Source organism: Homo sapiens, chromosome 6 (assembly GCF_000001405.40).
Source record: "Homo sapiens chromosome 6, GRCh38.p14 Primary Assembly".
Lineage (NCBI taxonomy): Eukaryota > Metazoa > Chordata > Mammalia > Primates > Hominidae > Homo > Homo sapiens.
Window position 1 is genome coordinate 95,584,726 of NC_000006.12, and position 26,106 is coordinate 95,610,831.

Genomic DNA, 26,106 nt, shown 5'->3' on the forward strand with positions numbered 1-26,106 from the left:
AAAATTTGCTGGTTTTGTGGCTCAGGTGGGCATCATGGTCCTACCGATATGTGATGTCACCCCCGGTGGCCCAACTGTAAAATTCCTCTCTTTGTACTCTCTCTCTTATTTCTCAGACTGGTTGACATTTATGGAAAATAGAAAGAACCTACGTTGAAATATTGGGGATGGGTTCCCCCGATAGAATAGAAGCAGCAGTTTGTAGGAAGTTTCACTTGTCTTTCTTTTCTATTGGAGTTAAGTCTTTTTTAACTTAATTCTCTATAATAACAGCACCGTATCATAGAACTCATTTTATAAAGCAGTCAATGTCAGCATTGTGCCAAATACCTTTCTAATAAGAAATCTGTATATAAAAAGACTTGAATATTTCATTCATATGGTGTATATGTACCTATATACTTATACTCATATATATATATATATACACACACAACAATAATGTCTTTTCTTAATCAGCCAAGAAGCACTGCATTAATATATGTCCATAAACATACTTACTAAAACAAAAACACATATAATACCCTTTCAGAAGTTATAAATTACTGTTTATAACCTCTGTTCAGTAAGATTTTCAGAGTCGTAAGTTAATTTTATTTTTGGAGACGTTTTCTTGCACTGTCACCCAGGCTGGAGTGCAGTGGCACAATCATGGCTCACTGCAGCCTTGACCTTCTGGGCTCAAGCAATCCACCTGCCTCAGCCTCATGAGTAGCTGGGGAACTACAGGCACACACCACCATGCCTAGCCAATTTTTTAAAAGTTTGTGTAGGGATGGGGTCTCCCCGTGGTTGTCCAGGCTGGTCTCAAACTGCTGAACTCAAGTGATCTTCCTGCCTCAGCCTTCCAAAGTGCTGGGATTACAGGCATGAGCCATCATGCCCAGCCTAATGAATTTTTTGAAAAAATTGGGAATATCTTACTTGTGATTATTCTTTTTTTCTCTACTGTCATTTAAAAAATTTTGTCTGATTCTATTTCACTTCAAAATGTTATTTAAAATTTGTAATTTTTCCCTTTTATGAAATTGTTAGTTAAAAATTTTTTAGAAAATCTGTTTAATGACTGGGTTTTTCATACACTAGTAAGTATTTCCTTTTTATTAACTGTGATTTGTAAATTTTACACTTAGATTTAGAAAATTTTAGTTCAGGCCAGGTGTGTGGTGACTCATACCTGTAATCCTAGCAATGTGGGAGGCTGAGACAGGAGGATCGCTTGAGCCCAAGAGTTCAAGACCAGCCTGGTCAACATAGTGAGACCTTGTCTCTACAATAAATAAATAAATGATTTTTAAACAGAATTTTAGTTCACATACATAGAATGTTCCCTTCCTACATTCAGCATACATGTAATCTGTTCAAGTAATGAAAAACATATTTTAATTTCTTAAATAAAATTTCCTAAAGGTTCGTCTGACTAAACGTAATTGGCATGTACATGGTGATATATCCAAATGAATATTGCCGTTTATTCTAGCCATAGACCCTTATTGTACACATTTATATATGATGATATAATTAATGTCTTCACTTTCTTAATTTCACCAATATGTGATGAAATCAGTATTAATTATTCAATGTAATGAAATTTATGGATTTTAGTTTTCGTGTTGAATATATTGGAAAATACTGTTGATAACACTTACTAATTATCTTTTTTCAATAAATTGCAGCAAAACACTTACTATTTTGGAGTTTAAAGTATGTCATCATGGCAAAGTTTCGGAGAAGGACTTGCATCATTTTGGCACTTTTTATTCTATTTATTTTCTCTCTGATGATGGGTTTAAAAATGCTGAGACCAAATACAGCTACTTTTGGAGCTCCTTTTGGACTTGACCTTCTTCCAGAACTTCATCAACGAACTATTCATTTGGGGAAAAATTTTGATTTCCAAAAGAGTGACAGAATCAACAGTGAAACAAATACCAAGAATTTAAAAAGTGTTGAAATCACTATGAAACCTTCCAAAGCCTCTGAACTTAACTTGGATGAACTACCACCTCTGAACAATTATCTACATGTATTTTATTACAGTTGGTATGGAAATCCACAATTTGATGGTAAATATATACATTGGAATCATCCAGTGTTAGAGCATTGGGACCCTAGAATAGCCAAGAATTATCCACAAGGGAGACACAACCCTCCAGATGACATTGGCTCCAGCTTTTATCCTGAATTGGGAAGTTACAGTTCTCGGGATCCTTCTGTCATAGAAACTCACATGAGACAAATGCGCTCAGCTTCAATTGGTAATTATTGTATATATATATATGTGTGTTTGTGTCTGTATATATGCATATAAATGATTTTTTGTGTAACTTTACTAGTTAATTTTCTCATTATTATTAATTATATTGTTAAGCTCATACCTCCAAATTAAACTGTATGTATGATCTTAAACATCCAGGCAACCACATTTTAACACTGCCCTTAGTGTATATTGTTTAATTTTTACATTTTGGAGCATTTCTGGATATATTGTTGATTTCTAATTTAATTCACTTTCTCAATTTTATTAAATTATGATTTACATAAAATACAATGAATTTCCCACTTTAAGTTTATAGCTCATTGATGTTACTCAAAAGTATATACCTGTTTGAATACCACCCCAATCAAGAAGTAAAATATTTCTATAGCCCAAAAAGTCTCATCATAATTCCTTTATTCAGGCCTACCTTCTCCCCTACCGCTGAAAACTGTATACATATCAGCTGGATCTGATTTCTATCAGATCTGATTTCTATCACTGGAGAATAGTTGTGAGTGTTCTATTACTTTATGAAAATAGAGTCATTCAGCATTTGTATGTGTGTATGTCTTTTGCTCAGCACAATATTTTGAACTGCACTTAACTATATCAATAGCTTAGTCATTTTTATTGATGAGAAGTCTCCTATTGTTTGATTTTGGCAAATTTGCTTTTATATTCACCTGTTGATAGGTGTTTGGGCTTTTTCAAATTTTAGGCATGTAGCATGTAATTTAGTCCTGCTTTTCTGTTTCTTAAAGTTATTCTGTCAGTCTTAATGTCTGTTTATTTCATTTATGTTTAATGTAATAATGATATGATTTTAAATCTGCCATTTTTCTGTTTATTTTCCATTTGTCCCACACGTCTGTTTCTTTTTTTCCTTCTTTTTCTTCCTTCTCTTACATTACATATGCGTATTATTCTGTTTTATATTTTCTTCTGGCTTATGTTATTCATTTGTTTTATTTATAACTGTACCTTTTTACAATACGCCCCTTTAACTTAACTGATTCTTATTGTTGTTCCCACCGCTTCTCACCTTTCTCTTCTCCTTCCTTCTGGCACTCCAATTACATATATTTAGATAGAGTCATATTGTCCCACAGGTGAATTACAGAAAAAATATAACTTGGTGCCTGAAAATTCTTCAGTTTGTTAATATAGTCTTTGTAAAACCTTCCAGTTTCAGTTTCATTTATCTTTTTAGTGCCCCTACCAGTAGAGCTAGAACAAGAAATTGGGTATTCTTACATTTTTCCAGCTCTACATAAAGGTATGGATTCACCATGGAGCTGATATGTATTTAGAGAAACACAAGAGTCTTTGATGAACAAAACAATGTAGAATTCTATGAATCTATATCAGATATGTGCAAGATGAGTTGTTTTCCTTGTATGGACTAACTTTTTTCAAGTATTTATAAAATTTAACTTTATAGTATAGTTAGAGATTTAGTTTCTATGTTCTGTATGTATTATGACATAAAATAGCTTGGGTCAGTTAAGACAGCATTGACTTCTGTGTGGTCAATATGTATGTGTGTGTGTCTGTCTCTACTAATTTGCTTTTGGGAGGAGAATCTTTTCAAATGATATTTTTTCTATTGTTTACAAAAAATTTGTGTCACATTTAAGTCTTTATTCAAGACTGTCTTGATATGGCTAAAAAAACTATGCTAGATTGACAGAGGAAATGGTTGTTCTTTAAAGTTTTAATTTTCATTTGCAATTTGAATAGTATACAATGAGGGTTTTTTCCCCTCCATTATAAATATAACTAATATTAATACATATTTGTAATACATAAACATATATAAATAATATATGTGGTAAATATAAATTTTAAATAGAAATATATGTGTTACACTATTTTTGGTATAGTTTGTGATCAGGAAGAAAAGTTTCAGTAAACATTTTTATGCCTATTCATATTTATAAAGACCTTTTTCCCTGTATAATATTTTAGTATTGTATCATGTATATGAACATTAATTATTTCTAAACATTGACAGTAATACAGTCATTTCAATTTTAAATGTTGACAGCTTCACTACGGATGCAAATATTTTACTTTTTGATGGATTTTCTCCTAGACAAAATTAAAAAATAAACTTGATAATAAAAGTGACATAATCAATTTATAAATAAAGAAATAATTTCTTAATGAGTTAAATATTGAATTATACTCATTGTTACCAGGCAGAAAATAATTTGACTGTTGGAATACTGACTCAAAACCCTAATTTAATCCATGGAGCTGGCATGCTGACTCAGGCATTCTTTGGATTGAAGAAGATAGTAAATGAAGGCTGTTTAAATTGTTGTATGGTTGACTGTGCTTTGACTACATATTTAACATTCATATTTTTCCTTTGATATAAATGGCCTTCTTTTTATCTTAAGTTGAATTGCTGTGTGAAGTAATTATGCTGTTATATCGCAGAGTACAAGTTGGTTGATTTTCTGCTTTTACAATTAAGTGTGGTTGGCATAAATCCTAATGGCTCAACCCTTCATTGAAAAGAATGATAAAATTAAAATGAACTATTAATGTTATGTTTAAAATCCAATTATTATATATAATGTATCAGATATATTACAATGGCATATGGTAGATTTGTATCCTTTTCAAGTCTTTTAAGTAAAATATTACGTATCATGTATTCTATCCTCTTGTATTGCTGTATTACAACTCTAAAAGTAACAGATGAATGCCTTCTTTTTTTTATACAGTTTACTAAAACTTTAGTAGACTGGTCAGAAAATAGCCCCCATTTTCTGATGTGGACATCGTAATTCCCACAATCTGTGAATATATTATTTTATTTGGCAAAAGGGGAATTAGGGTTGCAGGTGCAAAAGATTGCTAATCATCTGAACTTGAGATGGCATTATCCTTCATTATTTGGGTACAGCTAATCTAGTCACATAAGTCCTTATAAATAGAAGAAGAGGGAAAAGAGAGTCAGAGGGATGCACGAGAGACTCGACCCCCTGTTGCTATCTTTGAAGATGGAACAAGAAGTTCATGAGCCAAAGAATGTGGTAGCCTCTACAAGCTTGAATGGCAAGGAAAGGGATTCTTTCCTAGAGCCTCCAGAAAGGAATGTCATCCAGTCCAATACCTGGCCTTGATCTTAGCATATTAAGACCCATGTCAACACTCCTGACATGCAAAACTGTAAGGTAATAAATTTACGTTGTTTTAAGCAACTAAATTTGTGATAGTTTGTTATGGCAAAATAGAGAACTGCTACATTTAGCAAAACATAATGTACTCTATGACTTTAAAATTATCTTCCCATTGTTTCAGTTTAGCACTAAATATTTATTGATTTTCCATGACGTTCCAAGCTTGTGCTAGATTCTAGGGACATAAAAATGAGCAAGTCACATTTCCCAGTTCCTTTGTTTTCATCATTGTTGCTTTAAAAACACTGGATGGATTTCAACATTAGAATATTTCCTGAAAGTATGACATATTTGTTTTAGTAAGGTTACAATTCTTACTTCTGCATCTCCTGCCTTTAAAAATTTATACATAAAAGTAGAAGTCACAATGAGATGAATTAGACACATAAAGTTTAAATGTACCTAATAACATCTAATATGATGTCATAAAATTTCCTTTTATAATAACTATTTGCATTAAGTTTAAAGGTTATATTTATAACTGTAGAGTGGTGATATTCCATAAAGCTTTCATATTGCTATAGATGCCCAACCTTTGGCTACAAAAAAAATTTGAAAGTATTCATTGCAAGGAGACAGTCTACTTGCAAATAATATATACTTAATGTGTAATGTAAGGTCTTCACCACTGATATTCCCTATGTTTCCCTCCCATAGTTTGCTATTGTCGTAATTCTGTCACATAAGAAATGGTATTTTACTATCATTGCTGTAGGCCAGAGGTTGGCAAGCATTTTCTGTAAAGGACTGCCTAATATATATTTTTGATTTTGTGAGTCCCTCACTCTCTCTCTTTGCAACCACTCAGCTCTATCCTTATAGTGTGAAAATGGTTATAAGCAATAGATAGACAAATATATAGATGAATTGGCCTGTAAAAGGCAAGATTTGGCCGATGGGTCATAGTTTGCTGATCACTCTTTTCAATAATCAGTTGTTTTTCACAGTGATTAAAAGTAAGAATGTTTTTTACATTTATTCCATTTCTACTGTTCCCCATCCATATTTTAATGTAGATCCAAGTGTATGTCTAATATCATATTCTTTCTCTCTTAAAAATTTCTTTTATCTTGTTTTACTGGTCTCCTTGCAATGAATATTTTCAAATTTTGTTTGTAGCCTTTATTTTGAAAGATGTTTCATCACCTATGGAATTCTCAATGGGCAGGTTTTAGGGGATTGTTTTCTTTTGGAATTTTGAAAATGTATTCCATTTCTTTTTTTCTTCTTTTTCTTCAGTCTTTCATGGTTTCTGATGAGTAGTCTGCCGTAATTTAAAAAAATCTTTTTATATCCTCATTTTCTTGGATGGATATGTTTTGTTGTTGCTGTTGTTGTTTTCTGGCTGCATTTAATTTTTTTCTTTTTTTCTTTTTTCTATTTTGTTTTTTAGCAGTCTAAACATGGTATGGTTACTTGTTACTCCTGTTATTTTTTGTTATTTATCCTTCTTGGTGTTCTCTGAATTTTTAATCTGTTGCTTTGTGTCTTTTATTAATTTTGCTAAATTCTTAGTGATTATTGTTATTGTTTTATGAGATGGAGTCCCACCCTGTCGCCCAGGCTGGAGTGCAGTGGCCTGATCTCAGCTCACTGTCACTGCAACCTCTGCCTCCTGGGTTCAAGCAATTCTCCTGCCTCACCCTCCCAAGTAGCTGGGACTACAGATGTGCTCCACCACGCGTAGCTAATTTTTGTACTTTTAGTAGAGACAAGGTTTCACCATGTTGTCCAGTATGGTCTCGATCTCCTGAGCTCGTTATCCACCTGCCTGGGCCTCCCAAAGTGCTAGGATTACAGGCGTCAGCCACCGTGTCCAGCCTGATTATTTTTTCAAATAAACCTCCTACTTCTGGGTTTCCAATTACATGTGTACTAGAACTTTGATATTTATCTCGCAACTGTTAAATGCATTGTTCTATTGTTTTCCCCAGTCTTTTTTCTCATTATGGTAATTTGGATAAGGTAATTTCTTTTGACTTGCCTTGAAGTTTCCTGATTATCTCCTCAGCTCTGTTAATGAGCCTATTAAAGGCATTAATTCATCTTTTTAAGTAGTCTTTCATTCCTGGCATTTCTGTTTTATTTGTTCTTATAGTTCCCATATCTCTGCTGAAATTTGCCAGATCTTGTGTGTTAGCTACTTTGTCCATTAGATCCTTTAAGATATTCATTACAGTAATTTTATATTCTCTCTCTGATGATTCCAACGTATCTCATTTGTGAGTCTGTTTCTATTGATTGCTTTGTTTCTTGTCAGTGAATTGTTTTTCTTGCTTTTTTTTCTGTACCTTGTAAAATTTTGTTAAAAGTATGTCACCCTGGGTAAGATAGTGAAAATTGTGTTACGTCTAGAAATGAGCTTGCCTTTTTTTCTCTTAAAGCTTTAGTTTGAAAGAATGTTTGAGATGTTCAAAAGAAGCTCTAAATTTCCTATGAACACATAACAAGTTTTCTGGGGCTCAAGGTATCCAAATTTATCCATCATTATACTGTCTTCTTGTTATTAAGTGTTATTTATAATCACTTTTTAGGTGTTTTACTCTGCATGATGCATTCTCTCATTTGTGCTTTTTAAAACAGGCCTTATCCTACATTTTACAGATGTGGAAACTTAAGTAAAATAACTTACCTAAAGATACTCATCTATCAAATAACAGAATAAGAACTCGATTCTCTAGGCCTATCTGATTTTTATACCCTATATTCTTAACTGTTATCCTATTTGAATGCATCACTTTACTAACAACAAAAAAAATTGACTATCAATTATATTGAAGGTCCTGTAATAAGTGGCATGGAGGGGTGACATGAGCAACATGACATGAGTTTTTGCATTTAGTTTGCTAATATTTCAAGAATGGACTTCAAAGAGCATCCTAGAGTTTGCTAAGCAATTAGGATGACAGAAATACAGAGTAATAGATTTTACTTATAAGTGATACTCAGTTGGCTTATTTTATAGACACTTCTCTGGTTACTATCAAGGATTCACTGCCATTGTAAATTCCCAACACTCCTCAGAAGTACGACAATCACTGGCGTGGTTCCCAGGCTAGTATTTATTCAGTGCCACAGTCCAGAAGACACTGTATAATGATTAATTGGGCTGTGGATCACAGTATAGGGATAGAATTAGATATCTGGAAGTCATAATTGATGCAATAAAGAAGCTGAAATATAACAACATTGTAAGGGAGAAGAAAGAACATTCCTCCAAAGCCATAGAGTATACTTGCAAAGAGGATAAAAGAGGAAGAGAAATTACTAGACCAAGAATGGGATGGTTAATTTATTAGGAGAATCAGAATAATATGGCAGCGCTATCCAGTAGAATTTTCTGTGATGATGAAAATATTCTCTATCTGTGCTGCCTAAAACAGTAGATACATAGTCATATGTGGCTATTGAACACTTGAAACGTAGCTAGTTGAGTGTGCAAGAAAACTTAATTCTTTTAAATTTTAATTTATATGGTAGATATGGGTATTATTTTGGAGAGCATAGGACTAGAATGTAATCAAGCTTGAGGAAGAGAGTAAAGAAATGGTGGAATGGAGATGATAGTATAAAGATGGAAAAGACTGGCTGGGTGTGGTGGCTCACGCCTGTAATCCCAGCACTTTGGGAGGCCGAGGTGGGAGGATCAGGAGATCAGGAGATCAAGACCATCCTGGCCAACATGGTGAAACCCCATCTCTACTAAAAATACAAAAATTAGCCAGGTGTGGTGGTGGGTGCCTGTAATCCCAGAGGAGGGATTCTATCTGTAATCGATAGAATGAGGCAGGAGAATCACTTGAACCTGGGAGGCGGAGGTTGCAGTGAGCTGAGATTGTGCCACTGCACTCCAGCCTGGCAACAGAGCAAGATTCCGTCTCAAAAAAAAAAAGCAAAAGCTCATGTGTGTGTACATGTGTATGTGCGTGCTAGGAGAGGGGTATGGTTGAAGAGGGAGGGAAAAATGTGAGGGAAAAAACAGAGAATGTTGTAGTTAAAGGAACGAATATTTCTTGAATACTGTAGTCTAGTAAGTGGAATTTTATGTGTGTACTTAAAATATATCCTGAAAGGTAAGAATAATCTGTGTTTTGATGGTGAGGCCACAGAAGCAAGAAGTTAACTTGCCCTTAGTTCATGTAGCTGATAAGTGGTGAGATATTTGAATACATGTTCAAAGCGCATGCATATTCTACTATACTGCCCTGCCTCTCACAAAAAGAAATAGAAGAGTGGTAGATGAATTAGGAAAAGGGCAAAAGTAATGATTTTCTGCATTTTTAAAGGTAAGTGCTTTTTATCTTTTTTAAACTATGAAGGTAATTTTTAGAAGTGTGTGTAATGGCGATACCTGAAGTTGTTGCATGTTGCTGTTGTCTTGTTTCTGCCAATTCTTGTGCATGGTGTTTTATTCTTTGTGTTCTTAATTATCTTTGATTGTATACTATTTATTGTTCTTTATGAAATACTTTTTGTAAATAATTTGAGGCCCAGGAAGAAGATGCCTTCCTCCAGAAAGGATTTTCTTTTGCTTCTGCCTGGTGACTGTTTAGAATACCATTTCTGGTTACCTTAAATTAGGTCTAAAGCTAGAGGATTGTACAAGCATTGTGAACCTGCAGTTTAATTCACTGCTTTTGAGAGTTGGTTTACTTGTACCAATTTTGCTTGGGGCAAACAGACCTCCTTGCTCACTTATCTTTCTGGTTTCACATTTTCCCTTCAATTTGGCCAGGACATTTCTTACTCTCTTCAGCTCTTTAAGACATTTTCTCCCCGTGTTTTATATAATAATAATGGTTATTTTCATGGAGAGTGCTTGGTTTACTATTAGACCAACTGTTATTTTAGACTAGTCTGCTATTATTAGAAACAGGAATCTTGTTTTGTTTTTACTTTTATGGAAGAATGTTTTGCTTATAATTTTCATGTGATTCATAGCATAATCTTTCTGTTGTTTAATATTTTTTCTTATTTTGTTCCTTTCATTTTCTGCATAAAATAATTTTTTCGTAGGTCCCATGTTGAGAAAACTTTTTGTTGTCATTCTTATTTTCATTGGTGATATTCTTCTTATAAGCTGGGCTAGTAATCTTACAAGATTGTAAGTGATCGCTTATAAAATGTTGGATTGTCTCCAGACACTTTTCTCACCAGCATTTCTCTCTAGGATATGCCTTCCTCTGGCTAGCCAGTTTCCCTAAAGCCTCATATGTTATAGGTTATTTTTTCTATGTTTCGTTCTAGTTGCCATTCTTATTTTCAGAGTGGATAGGGGACATAAGGATTATTTTTCCATTAACTTTGATTTTGTTGTCCTAGATGGGACTTACTTATTTGTACATGGCGGCTAGCACAAAACTTAGGTCTTAAAATTTAGTTCTCCAGCAGTTTCTTACCTTCAATTTCTTAATTTCCATATGCTTCTCTTTTGGTACCATTATTATTTATTTCTCTGCCTTAAAGAGTCTGTTTATTTATCTAGAAATTTGTGCAATCTTTCTAATGACTGTCCATTTCTTTGTATACGTAATGAGGCTTTGAATTAATTCATCTTAAATATTCCGTCTCCAGTTAGTGATTTTCATGTAATTTATGCTTCTAACACATAATTTATCAGTTCAAAAATAAGTAGGCAGGCACTACAGAGAGGAACAGTAATTATTTTACTATGTTAGAATCTTCTGTTAAAAGGTATTGATCTACACAAAAACAGCATATAAATGTTTATAGCAGTTTTACTCATAATGGGCAAAAATTGGAAGCAACCAAGATGTCCTTCATTAGGTGAATGTATAAAATAAATACAATGGCATATTATGCAGCAGTAAAAAGAAATGAGCTATCAAGTTATGAAAAGGTATGAAGGAACCTAAAAATTCAAGTTGCTAAATGAATGAAGCCAGTTCTAAAAAGCTACATACTTTGTAATTCCAACTATATGACCTTCTGGAAAAGGCAAAATTATAGGCAGCAAAAAGCTTAGTTATTGGCAGGGGTGAGGGGGAGAGGGAACGGGGATGAATCAGTATAGCACAGGAGGTTTATAGAGCTGGTAAAACTAGTTTTTCAGCTACTCTAATGGAGAGCATATGGTATAATAGATTTGTCAAAACCTGTCGAACTGTACAACACAAAGTGTCAACCCTGATGTAAACTATGGACTTTAGTGAATAAAAATCTTTCAATATTGGGTCATCAATTGTAGCAAATGAAAGATGTTAATTATAGGAGAAACCGTGTGGAGGGTTGGGGCAGGTAGGAGGAAGAGTATATGAGAACTCCATATTTTCTTTGCTATTTTTATGTAAACCTAAAACTTACTCTAAAATGTAAAGTCTGTTCACTTTTACAAAAGCTTATTAATGCCTGATAAAGAGGTCATAAATATTGACAAAGTGATCAAATAGCCATATGTATTCTGAAGGAACTTAACAAAACCACCTCGTATAAATATGTTCTTCTATTGTTAACTCTTTGGTACTTACTGTGCCTTTTTAAGAATATCTGCATTCATGTTCTTGTCTTTTCCCTTTCTTTTTGGTCTTTTCTATTAGGTGTACTAGCCCTCTCTTGGTACCCACCTGATGTAAATGATGAAAATGGAGAACCTACTGATAACTTGGTACCCACTATTTTGGATAAAGCTCATAAATATAACCTAAAGGTATTTTATTTTATTTTCAAGCTATACATAAGTTAATTCTTTTGGACAAGAGGAGAGTAATAACAATTTTTGAAATAGTAATTTTAATTAAAAATGATAATGACTTAGAATCTTTTAAATACTATATTTCATAAAGAAAATTTCTATAATAGGAATTTCAATCTTATCTAAATTATATTTTAGAGATTCTTTACTATGTTTCTAATGTTTTATTTTTTTATAGTAGAAAGGGATTGAAAGGTTCTTTTGTGAAGATAATATAGTAGTGAAGATTTATATGTCTAAATATCTTAGATGTCAAAAATCTAAAAACAAGTATTAACCATGTAACTTTGCATATTTATAAAGTAGTTAAAAAATAAACTTGCTCAAATATTTTTCAAAATCCAATTTTCATTTAAACCTTATTTAATGTGCATACACATACACACCTGAGTAAATATAGAATACAGCAGAAAGATCAAGTATATTTGATGCAGAAATTAATGTGTGTTGCAAATGAGGGAACACTTCTGACAGTCTTAAGATTTTATTTCTTTTAGAAATTAATGAATCATGGAAACAAATAGGAGTGATGATTAAAAGTATTTAAATAGCACTACAAAAGAAAATTTTATACTGAATAGCAAGTAAATAAGCACTGTTTTTAATATCCAAAGATACATTTTAAAAATTGGTCATGTATTAGGTAGCAACATTAATTCTAATAAATTCATAAAAATTATAACCATAGAGTCTGCATTCTCTGACCACATTCAGTACCATGGAATGTTAATAATTAAGTCCAAACCATTTAGAAAGTATAAAATTATTAAAATTTTAATAACATAATTGAGAATAACTCTGAAATTTAAGTGATATAAATAGCACTGAGATTATTGCATTATCAATACCAATGGGACCTAAATAATAAGACATAGTAGAAGAAAGAACTATGATAGATGAAGTGTGAAATTAATTAAATAGTATACAAGTCCTTCAAAATCAGTAGTCTGGATAAATTAATCTTTACTATTGTCCACTTTTGGGGAAAAAACAATAGGCAAGCCATTGGTGAGATTAAAAAAGAAAAGAAATTGAGAAAACATATCAGCAAAAATTGAAAAGAAATATACCTATAGTTTCAGAAGAGAGTTTAAGATTTTATATCAGTCTATTTAAAATTTATATGGTAGTTTTATAGGAAAATACTAAAATTAATTTTTTTTGGTGCAGAAAGAGGTTTAAAGAATCTGAATTGACTATCCTAGAAAAAAACGTATAAAAGATAATTGAACAAATGTCTTCCCCAAAGTGTCAGGTTTACCTCTCAGTTGTATTCAGAATAGTTGATTTTTATGATAACTGAAATACAGTGTCAAGTATACTCACTATCTATTGCTGCATAACAAATTATTCCAAAACTTGGTAGCTTAAAACAATAAACATTTGTTACCTCACACAATTTCTAAGGGTCAAGCATCTGGAAGTGGCTTATTTGGGAGTGTCTGGTTCAGGGTCTCTGAAGGAGGTTACAGGCAAGCTATTGGCTGGTGCTGTAGTCATCTGAGGCTAGAGGATCCACTAACAGACTTTCTCATGTGGTGGATGACAGACCTCAGTTCTTTGCAGCAGGTGAACTGGAGACTCTGTACTTCTATATATGGGCCTCCAGCTTCACTAGAGTGAAAGATCTGAGAGAGAGTCTAATATAGGGGCTACAGGGTTGTTTTTGTTTGTTTTGTTTTTTGACATAAATCTTGGCAATGACGTGTTAATACTTCTGTCCCATTCTGTTGTTTTATCTACGGATAAAACAACCATGGCACAATGTGGGAGGGAACTGCAAAGTTATGAATACCAGGAGATGGGTATCGGGGGGCCATCTTGAAGAATGGCAACCACAGAAAACTTCCAAATTTATTCCACAATAGCACAATTTTTATTTAAAACTAAGAAAGGATAGAACAAGAAAGAGACAGACTAATCTTACCAATGAAAATAGATTCAAAATTCCTAGAGGGAATTTTGAGAAGAAGTGTTTATTAGCAAGGATTTAAGAATGGTTCCAATCATATGAAATCTGAATCTAAATTCAGGTCTGCATTCAATCCTGGCTCAACCACCTTGTAGCTTTATAAATGACTTGTGTCTCAGCTTCTTCATCTCTAAAATAGAAATAGCAACAAAACCTTCCTTACACACAGAATGGTTATAAAGATTATATTAGATAATATATGTAAAACATAGATTGCTGTCTGGCACAGAGTAAGCACTAAGTAAATAAAACTTCATTGATTATTTAAAGAAGGTAAAACATGGTTATCTTAAGAGATACTGAAAATTTTAGGAAATAAAAATTCATTGTTAATGAAGTCCTTAGTAACCAAAGTTCTTTAGCTTGATAAAGGGTGTCTCTTAGTATCTTATTTCAAACACTATATCTGATGGATATACTACACCTGTAGTCCCAGCTACTACTCAGGAGGCTGAGGCATGAGAATTGCTTGAACCTGGGAGGCAGAGATTGCAGTGAGCTGAGATTGGTGCCACTGCACTCCAGCCTGGGCGACAGAGTGAGAGTCTATCTCAAAAAAAAAAAAAAAAGTGATGTAGGTTCTTTTAACTAGAGACCACTCTGAGATTGCAACCACTCTTAAAATTTGCTGAAGCTTTTTATTTGCTCTGTAACTTCTTGCAGTTATATTCTAATGGAGGACAATCTGGTTTGTCCAATACTGGTAATTGAGCCCTGTAAGATATGTTATGGACCACTGTTGAAATATTTCGTTTCAAATAAAAATGTGAAACATTAGTTTTGTCTTAATTTTCCTTTTGCAGCCTAGAGATTGAGTAGTTATTGGAGAATAGAAATGGAACTGTAGGGAGTGAGAAAGAGCTAAATAGGCAAGCATTTTTTTATTTCTGTCCATAAAGCTGCCTCTTCTTTCTGATTTACTATCCTGAAACTGTTAAGACAGCATCTCTCAAATTAGCTGTCTAGCAAGAGCTGTCACCTGCCATGTCCCTTGGTGCCTTTCAGTGAGTTCTTATTGGCATTTGAAATCTGCAAATAGGCAAGCCTCCAGGTTCTGGTGCCCAGGCTGAGGTTGGGTAAGTGATTGATTTATCTTCCACAAAACAAGCCCAAGAGCTGCTTTTCTGTCCAGGCCCTGCCAAAATCCTGGAAGATGGAAGCTCAAGAAACTGGCTATTTTAGTACTTTCAGGAAGTTTTGAAAGAGAAAATGAAAATGTTATGATATATGAGGATTGGTTGGCTTTTTCTCCTGTTTAAAGTGTCTGTGTAGAGAAGGAGAGTGTGGCAAAGAGCTCGACCACTAATTGCCTATTTAATGTTGCCAGCATACTTGATCTCTCTGTGCTAGGGATTTTATATCTAATGATCAGAAAAACTTGGAACACGATAGACTAATGTTTTCCAAAATTTTTAGAACAGTTTCTTGGCCTCGTGTATGGTGAGGAACTATGTATAGACAAAGAATAGACCTGGAATCATGAGACTGGAGCTTGTTCTAACTGAGTAGCTCTGGAATCTTATATTAGTTCCTTGATCTTCTTGGCTTATCCCCTTCATTTGTACAATGACAATGAAACCATAAGATAGTTTTATTGGATTTGTCTATGATTTCTGTTGTTGTGGAACAGACATTTTTCCTAACTCAATAAAATGCAGTAAATCCTGTTTTTTTAAAGAATGGAAAACTTTCCCTTTTCTTGCTAATATAAGGAAATTTTAATATGTTTAATGAATGACAGTACCTTACTAGAATTATTCAGTGTGCTAAGGCAATCTGATAGGAAAAGATTAATGATGTTGTAGATTGTGTGCTGACAAATTGGAGCCTCCAATGCACATAACTGACCACATCTAAAACTTTTAAGTGTAAAATGCGTTCATTAGTAACATCTCTTTTTTCTTGCTAGTCTTCAAAGCATGGAAATACTAAATGGATGGAGAATTTTTAGGGAATGAATCCGTCTCACAGTTAAACTTTTGTTATAGTTCATTCATTTTGATTATATAATGTTTTTACTAATATTAGTCATTAAATATTTTGTAATTGTAATTTTGATTTGTTAACTTCAACCAAGAGTTATTTTAAGTAAGTGCCTTTTAAATTATAAACAAACATGCAAGAAAAGGAAATGATTGGTGCTTTAGTTATTTTTCATTATCTTTAGCAAATGTGACTAGGTTTTTTTTTGGAAGTGTAAATGAGTGAAACTAAAATTTAAATCTTGATTTTTCAAAGCGATTTAGTTTCTGTTCTTTTAAAGTATACTTGTCTGCATGTTTGCTAGAGCAAAGGCTGTTGCACTTATAACTGTCATTTAGTAGGCTGGTTTTGCAGAGAGTGTAAAAATCAGGGCTGGATTCCTTCCTCTATATCCTGCACCATTAAGAACACAGCAACGGAACAATTTTTTGAGTAAGACATGACAGAAATATTTGGTAGATTCCGTCATTGTTTAGCAAATAATCTGGTTTTCCTTCCCCTGCATGCAAAGAGTAAGTATACTTCCTGCCCTGTTGTTGTTGGGTTTGGCCTTATGGCTTGCTTTGGCTGATGAGATGTGAGAAGAGATAATGTATACTATGTGCTTGCATGATTATGCTCTTATTCTCTTTTATAAGAAAAGCATGCCCCTTTCTGCCTAGGACTCAGAATGACAGACACGTGGAGCTGATTTGAACCAGCCTGGAGCAGAACCATCATAAGCCAGTTCATAGATTTTATGTTCGAAAAGCAAATGTTTGTCTTTTAGAGCCACTGAGATTGTGGGGTTGTTACATGGCATTATCTAATCAAAACTTGACTGAATTAAATCATTCATCTAAGTAAAAGAAAATTAGGCAGATTCAGTGATTTTTTTTTTTTTTTTTTTTTTTTTTTTGCTTAGGATTATAGGGGAAAGAACCAACTCAGCCCTGGTGATCTTCTTTCATTTTAATAAATTTAGTATGTTATTTTAAAGTAGCATATTTTCTTTCTACTTTATGCAGAAATCACATTTCTTATACTAGGTTTATCAACATCCATTATTTCTTTGCATATGGCTCTAGAGTCATTTTATCTGCTTTTCAGGCTTATGCAGATTTCAACCATGTGAAACATGAATATAAGTATGTCCGTGATTCTTTTTTAAATGATTTTCACCTACATTTGAAACATGTTATATTAGTCATGGCCTCTCCTTTTTCTTTTTCCTTGTTAAATGAATATTGTGAATTCATGGCAGAAACTTTGGGAATCTTACCTAAATCCAGTATAAGTGACAGACTTAAGAGTTTAACTGTTGTTTGTTTTTGCATGCAAATCATTAGTCCATTTATTTATGCATGCATTCATTCATTTAGCACCTGCTACGTGTCAGATACAGTCCCAGATGCTGACAATATTAAGAAGAAGGATGAAGTATTATCTCTTTCCCTAAAATGCCTTGTAATCTACTGGAGGTCAGACACAAAGACAAGTAAATTTCAGGAAGAGAAAAGTATGAGGTATTATGGCACCACATAGGAGTAGGAAGACCTACCTCAATTTTGTTGTGGCAGGGGATAGGGGAGTGTGCAGGGGTGAAGGTAGAGAATAGAGTTGGAGAAGGAGAAAGTTATCAGATTTTCATTCAAAAAAGTTCATTTTATTAAAATTTATTTATTAAAGTTATTAAAATGCAGGGTAGGGAAGAGACAGGAAAGGTCAAAATTAAAAACATGAAATGAGGGAATGTTTATATTCTTATTCTTTAAAGATAAGAAAGACATTTCATTTTATGTATAGAATTCTGTTATTTTAAAATTTATTTTAACATTGATCTAATTGATTTTTCCAAATGGAATAGAGAGATGGAGACTAGATCACATCATTAATTAAAATTGCAAAGTAATGGCCGGGCGCGGTGGCTCACGCCTGTAATCCCAGCACTTTGGGAGGCCGAGGCGGGTGGATCATGAGGTCAGGAGATCGAGACCATCCTGGCTAACAAGGTGAAACCCCGTCTCTACTAAAAATACAAAAAATTAGCCGGGCGCGGTGGCGGGCGCCTGTAGTCCCAGCTACTCGGGAGGCTGAGGCAGGAGAATGGCGTGAACCCGGGAAGCGGAGCTTGCAGTGAGCCGAGATTGCGCCACTGCAGTCCGCAGTCCGGCCTGGGCGACAGAGCGAGACTCCGTCTCAAAAAAAAAAAAAAAAAAAAAAAAAATTGCAAAGTAATTTTATTATAATTAAGAAATTAGAAATACATGAGGGAAAATTTTAAATATTTTATACTTATCAATACTATATTTACTTTAAATATATTGATCTGCGCTTTACAAAAATAGCATGCTATTTGTTGTTTGCAGCTGTAAAAGCAAATTCATTTTGATATAGGATATTTCAAGTTGGATATTGCTTAAATATGGTGTCCTTTATGTATAAAATGGAAATTTAGAAAACACAGTGATGTAACTGAAGGAAGAATTACCCAAGGAAACATTATGTAATAGTATGAAAATACCTATACACTAGGCAATTTGCTTTCAACTGAATTTAAAAAGCAAATACCAAAGTTATTGAGAAATCTAGCTGCCCTAGCAGTTACTACCCTGGCAATACTAACAATATGCTGCAAAAATTAATTTGACCTTAGTTTTTTATGACAGAAACTTACTTTTATAATATTACTGTAATCTCATTTAAAGTAGAAAATTATATTTTTTTTAAATATTATTTAACTTTAAAATTAATTATGTGAAAACAAGTAGCACTGATTAATGTAAAATACATTTTGCTTTAATTGGGTAATTGAAAACAGAGGAGTTTCATATTGCAATAGAAGTCTCTAGTTCCATAAATACATCATAGAGCCTGAAACCTAAAATTAAAACAGTATCAATACATTTATTAGACTGCCATAAAGATTTTTAGTTGATGTTGGTAAGTCAGTAAAACTAGGAATAAAAGTGAAAATCCTCATTCTTTGTTTTATGAATCTGAAATAGATTGTCATCTAAGAGAAGTATCTTCTGTATTTTTTACCTTACTAGTTAGAAGTAGCATACAGAATGGTTTTACTAGCCATAATTAGTTTGTCTTGATTTATGTATAGCCAACCTTAAGTTAAAAAATTTTAGTCTGTGCACAGTATTTTAAAAATATTTGTAATTACTGCTCTCTATGTTTACATATATATATATAATGTATGTATGTGTGCGTATATATGTATGTAGGTGTGTGTGTGTGTGTGTGTGTGTGTGTGTGTGTATGGGATATCCAAACCATAAATACCTAGGCATCATGAAAAATGTCCTTTATAACACTAGTGGATATTATTTTTAAGCGATTTCATTATAAATTCTTTAATAGAAGTTAATGTATATTATTTTGTAAAATGCTGTTTTAATGATATGGAAGAATTTATATGTAAATAAATTTGCTAATGACTTCTATTTAAATTTAAGCTTAATGGTCACATGCCTGAAAAAAATCCAGATTTTTCTGGACCATATTTTTTTGGTCTTTTTCCTAAAAGAAACATATATCTGAATATAGAGTATTTCCTATATATATTATATGGGATACAAATATGTAAGAAACATTTTTATAAGGAGTAAACATAAAAAGAAGCATTGCACAGCAGTTAAGCATTTGAACTCGGAATTCAGATCATCAATATTACCTCCAACAAACTGGGTGACCTGGAACAACTTACTGAACCTTTCTTAAGGTTCTGTCTATCTTTGATTACCTCACTAAGAAAACAGAAATACCTTAGGGAGTTGTGAAGATTAACCAAGATAATAATATAAAATGTTTAGCATGTTATTTAGCAGTAAATTTTATTGGTAAAAATTCTCTGGTAGTTTCTGTGTTCAATAAATATTCATCTTTAATTAAGGTGATTAAATCAGTTACTTTATTAAATATATTAAGTATACTTCTAATTTTACATTATAGATAATTTATCCCCTAACTGATTTTATTGTTTGTTTTAGGTTACTTTTCACATAGAACCATATAGCAATCGAGATGATCAAAACATGTACAAAAATGTCAAGTATATTATAGACAAGTGAGTTTCTTCAATATTTATAAATATTGTTATATTATCCAGTGATAATTATTGTTTTAAGAATAGTACATTAAATTATATTTGAGATTTGAATGATTTATGATTATTCCATTTTTAATAAAATTAAATTGTTATTGTAATGAATGTCACCATCATTTCGAAGAACATTGCTGAAGTTTCTTATAATTCACTTTCTTTTTGGAAGATTGCTGTTTTTACTGTTTTACAGGTTTATAGGCTATTTATGATTTCTGTAGTTTTGATATTTTAAAATGACATTATTTTCTAAACCTTCAGAATATAGCTTTATCTTTTTAAAAAGAAGGTTCAGATTATTAAAAGTGAACTACTTCTTTTAACACAGTAGACCCAGAGCTGATATTTTCATTTATATCTAGCCTGATCAAAAAGAATTTATTAATACAGTTTTCATTTTTTGAAAGAATTTTACTGATAATAGTCTGTGACAGATGCCATAGTCTTACAAAGAAACTTGTCAGCAACAGTAGAACATTTATCACTGATAGATAAAAAAGCAGTTTAGGTATTATGTAGAGTATTATTTATAATGTAGAGACATAGGCTTTTTATGGCATTAGTCATCATTTGTAAACCTCAATATGAGATGGTTAATACTTGTTTGGTAATGCATCCAGTATCTCATTTTCTAATGTGTAAAATTAAAAATGCATTTTTAATTATTACACTTACACAACTGATTCCCCTAAGAAATGGAGCAGTGTGCTCAAACTGCACTGACTCCTTCATTTTCAGTAAACAGTTTTTGTCTGTGGCAAATTAGTTGTGAATATTCATTTCACTTTTATATATGCTTATTTTCTAGATATGGAAATCATCCGGCCTTTTACAGGTACAAGACGAAGACTGGCAATGCTCTTCCTATGTTTTATGTCTATGATTCCTATATTACCAAGCCTGAAAAATGGGCCAATCTGTTAACCACCTCAGGGTCTCGGAGTATTCGCAATTCTCCTTATGATGGACTGTTTATTGCCCTTCTGGTAGAAGAAAAACATAAGTATGATATTCTTCAAAGTGGTTTTGATGGAATTTACACATATTTTGCCACAAATGGCTTTACTTATGGCTCATCACATCAGAATTGGGCTAGCCTAAAATTATTTTGTGATAAATACAACTTAATATTTATCCCAAGTGTGGGCCCAGGATACATAGATACCAGCATCCGTCCATGGAACACGCAAAACACTCGGAACCGAATCAATGGGAAGTATTATGAAATTGGTCTGAGTGCCGCACTTCAGACACGCCCCAGCTTAATTTCTATCACCTCTTTTAATGAGTGGCATGAAGGAACTCAGATTGAAAAAGCTGTTCCCAAAAGAACCAGTAATACAGTGTACCTAGATTACCGTCCTCATAAACCAGGTCTTTACCTAGAACTGACTCGCAAGTGGTCTGAAAAATACAGTAAGGAAAGAGCAACTTATGCATTAGATCGCCAGCTGCCTGTTTCTTAATGCATTGATTAAAGTTTAATAGTTATCAAAATCACCTAATTTTTAAAAATAGCTTTCGTTTTGAGTTCTGGAAAGAAAACTGTCAAAATCAGTATATACTATTAGTTATATTTAAAAATATTTTTTTAAATTCTTTACAGATAATATTATACTTGTTACCCTTCACAATACCACATGAGAAAATATCTGAGACAAAATGTATACAAATATATTCCTTATGGCATAATTTATTGCATTTCTGACTGAAATCAAAATTCTGATTTGATGGCAATTGAATTTTCATTTTACAATAGATAAATGCTTGTGCTACCTAAAGCACTTAGCACACAGTTAAATTATATTTACATCCTAGACCCAAATAAATAGGATTGTGTGTATATTTGGGATATCTATTGAAGAAAAAAAGAAAACCCCTTAAAGATAATGTACATGCTTCATGTCATGTCTTTAAAATAATTTAATCAACTTTATTGTCTTAGTATTTAGACTCTGGATAACTCTACAATAATGAGGAAATTCTTAAGAATAACAAAATCACTGTACCTTCCTCTCAATTTTGCTGTGAACCTGAAATGGCTTTAAATTAATACTCTTATTTTTTATTTAATTTAATTACATAAATTAAACCTTACCATGACCAAATTGTGTTAGGACGGCCTGCTATCTACAGCACAGTGTGTCATTTGCAGATTTGTGGTTACCTATACCACGCTAGGTGTTTTGACATGTTTAGTGTTTCTGCTTTACAGTGCTGAATTCCATATTTTAGAAGCTATGAAAGTCCTTTTATGAAAAAGTTACTGATTGCTTCTCAGTTATTAGGAAAACAGTTGTTTCACAATTATTATGTAGATATGATGCCCAAATATCATTTTTAGTATATCTTGTCGATCTTTAAGTTGTTACTATTGTGTTATTCATGTCTTTAAATCAGATACCAAATATTTTTTAGGAAAGAAAAATGTTATTACTGTCATTAGGTTGTCTTTTAATACTTTAAGTTATTTTGACGAAAAGTAATAGAGAAAATTTACTTAGCATTTTAGATTCTAGAGACATGGAAATGAAAATTATTTTATGTCTAGAGTAGGTCCTGAAGTTTGGCTTTACATTAAGTTTAGCACTGTATCAGAATGAAGAAACTAATATTTTACATAAAAACTAATACTTTCAATTTTTTATATAGTAATATCCCCATTTTGTAAATGTTAGACTTTTATCATACCTGTAAGTTAAAATACTTGTTATCAATAACTTGTCATGTTGTGACAAATTGATCACTTGTGTACGAAAAATAAATCTCCTTAAAAACTAAATAAAATGCACTGTATTCTTACAGTTAATGTTTATAACTATAGTAAAAAATTAATATATATCCTATTACATAAATGTTATTTCTTAGGTGTTCCATTAAGAAGAGCAATAGAATAATGCTAAAAAATAATGCCTATAAATCTTCAGAGTATAAAGACATCCATTCAGAAACAAAAATTAGCACTAAATTTTTTATAAAATAGACCAGATGACAAAATTTATTTTATTTTTAAACAGTGGTTTTGACACAAATTATGTTATTGAAAAGCATTATTAATGTTTAATTTATTTAAAATTTTGGAATTTGCCATTTCTCAGAGAATGATCAGGCCTTAGGAAATTAATACAGTAGTAGTAATCATTTTCTAGGGGAAAATAAAAGAATAAATCACTATACTGATATTTTGATACAAGCAAGCACTTACATGGTAATCACTATATAGATCCAACCTGTGGATTTTCTTCTTATGTCCATTTAACTAGAATATATTATTTTAGGTATAATTTACAAATGTCACACCTAATAATCTTTTATAATATACCATATTTCATTAAAGTTTTGTTAGAGAAGTATCTACCACAGAGGAGTTTTTGTCATTGTGTACGTTGTGTATTTGAACCCACCATGACAGAAAGTAAATTTTAGGAAATAGTTATGAGATTAAGGGAAAATCTATAAAAACAAGGTTAGCATATTCTCAACACAGATACCACCACTTTCTTTTTCCCATTATAGACATGGTGAATCCACACAGCATACTTCATCTCTGAGCTTTGTTGTGATTCCTCAACACATTACCCTAACCAGCCAGCAGTAACAGATTTCAGAGTAAGATAAAGCAGATTCTGTCTTCATTGCAAAAAGTTATTCTCAATGGAAGAATGGCATCTGATCTCATAATTACTAGTTTATATTAATATAGTTTTTTTCTCCCTTTTTAATAAAATAATTACAGTCATCCCTCAGTGTCTGTGGGGGATTGGTTCCAGTTACCCCTATAGATACCAAAATCTGCAGATGCTCAAGTCCCTGATATAAACTGGCATAGTAGTTGCATATAATCTATGCACATCCTCCTGTATACATTAAGTCATCTCTAGATTATTTATAACACTTAATACAATGTAAATGCTATGTAGTTGTTATACCATACTGGTTAGTGAATAATTACATGAAAAAAAAGAGTCTGTACATCTTCAGAGTTTCAGTCGGCAATTTCTTGGCCATGGATGTAGAACCTACAGATAAGGTGAGCCAACTGCATTAGGAAATAACTCTAATAATTCTGTTAATTCTTAGAGAGGAAAACTTTCAAAATCTTCCTCAGGTATTTATTACAACTGCCTTTACCATTTTAGTTGTAACACAGTTTAAATTGTTATGATAACAAGTAAATAAGAGCAAAGAATGTATTTCTTAATTCAAAACTATACGTTTGAATTCAATATGGTATAACTTAAAGTGGTATAATACATACAATGCATGAATCATAATGGATTCTTTTATAAGTTATTAATTTTTATGGTTTAATCAGTCTAATTGTTTTGACTGTTATAGAAACCAAATATTTTACTGTTTCTTTTAAGGACTAATATTGTCAAAAACTGCTGTTATTAACTTCACTTGAGTTGTTTAACTTCCTTCTGTTTTAAGATTGTAATTAAAAATTACTATTTTGTTATATGGAATGGTTAATTTTTACCTAATAAAAACATAGATGAAATACATTGTATTTTAGATATTAAAGTCTATCATTTCTCTTTATGAAATGTCTTATTTGATTTCCGATTAACAAATGAAAAGGAGTATCCAGTCATCATTCTTTATGTTTTCTCTTTTGAGATATGCAGCACTTACAAAGTGGATATCTTTAACTGCACATACTTTTTAAATCTATAAACTTGTGTTAGGTTAATATACACACATACATGCACACAAAGTTTTTATTTTTTTTCATTTGAGAGCTGTTTTTCTATTTTTTTTTCTTCTTTGGGTATAATCATATATTAGCTCCAACATCCGTTAGGAAATTAATCTTCTAAAACAGCAAAGTAACAAAGCAGTAGAGAACTTACCAAGTTCATGCACTTTTTCAAACTGACCACAGTTAGCCCGTTTAAACATGACTCTACAGTGCTTACAGAAACAGTCTTTAAAAATCTACATTTAAAATTTGAATTACACTGTCACATACCATAGTGAAGAAAAGCAATAATTTACAACCAGCAAGATTTCAGTTATTTTTGAAATATTTATAATTTCTAAATGAAAACTTGATGTAGCCACAAGCAAAAAGGCTTTATGGCTCAAAGCATTACTTTTTAAATATTAAAATATTAATAAAATTTAAAAATTATACTAACATTTTTAGTCTTTAAAAAAATGTACTCCAAATTAAATTTTATACTATGTTGTTGTATATTCACATAAAGGCTAAATATTATTGTGGGTTTGTTGCCAGATTATTATCCTTGAGAATTTAGGTACTATTTTGGCTTAATTACCTTATAGAGACTCATTCATGCTTAGTCAAATCAAAGAACTGAGTAGTAGCGCTGTTATATTCCAACTATCAATGAAGGGAGGAACATTTTTTCAAAGTGATTAGCTTTTTTAGTTGTTGTTATGTCATTACTACTTACGGTATCAGACAAAGTAAGGGCTAATGAGCAAAAATAGTCACACATCTACAATTTATTGAAATCAAAACATAATGGCACTTTTATATTGGATATTCTATATTTCATTTAAAAGATACTGAATTTCAGGTTTCTCAGGTTACATTAAATTACCCATAAATTTTACCATAAAGTCAAAAAATCTTTAGAAGCTAAACCCCATATAAATATTTTATGATAGAAGAGAATGATGCCCTCTAGTACGATAAAACTGCTTACAATTCAACTTATGGTATATGACTGTATTATGCTTTTGTGTTTTTGTTTTTAAAAATAATAGGTTAAAAATCTGAGCAAAGATCACTATCAGCAACACAATAAGCATTATGAGCTACTCAATTATATTTAGAATAAATGATTACAATTATGTTATTGTATAAAAGTGCTTTTGAGTTTTACCAAAAGCCATTATCAAAACACTGTAGTTGTGTTA

At 32.1% G+C, this 26,106-nt stretch overlaps 1 protein-coding gene across 2 annotated transcripts in view; it reads left to right on the plus strand.

Moving 5' to 3' along the window:
• Positions 1–24,727, plus strand: part of MANEA (mannosidase endo-alpha) — a 31,918-nt gene extending 7,191 nt beyond the window's left edge. For both annotated transcript variants that reach the window (NM_024641.4, XM_005267147.4), the window contains exons 2-5: positions 1,677–2,258; positions 12,012–12,121; positions 20,102–20,178; positions 21,023–24,727. In NM_024641.4, the coding sequence (NP_078917.2) occupies positions 1,715–2,258; positions 12,012–12,121; positions 20,102–20,178; positions 21,023–21,680 (1,389 nt within the window). In that variant the 5' untranslated portion in view covers positions 1,677–1,714 and the 3' untranslated portion in view covers positions 21,681–24,727. The remainder of the gene's footprint in view (positions 1–1,676; positions 2,259–12,011; positions 12,122–20,101; positions 20,179–21,022) is intronic.
• The last annotated feature ends 1,379 nt before the right edge of the window (positions 24,728–26,106 follow it).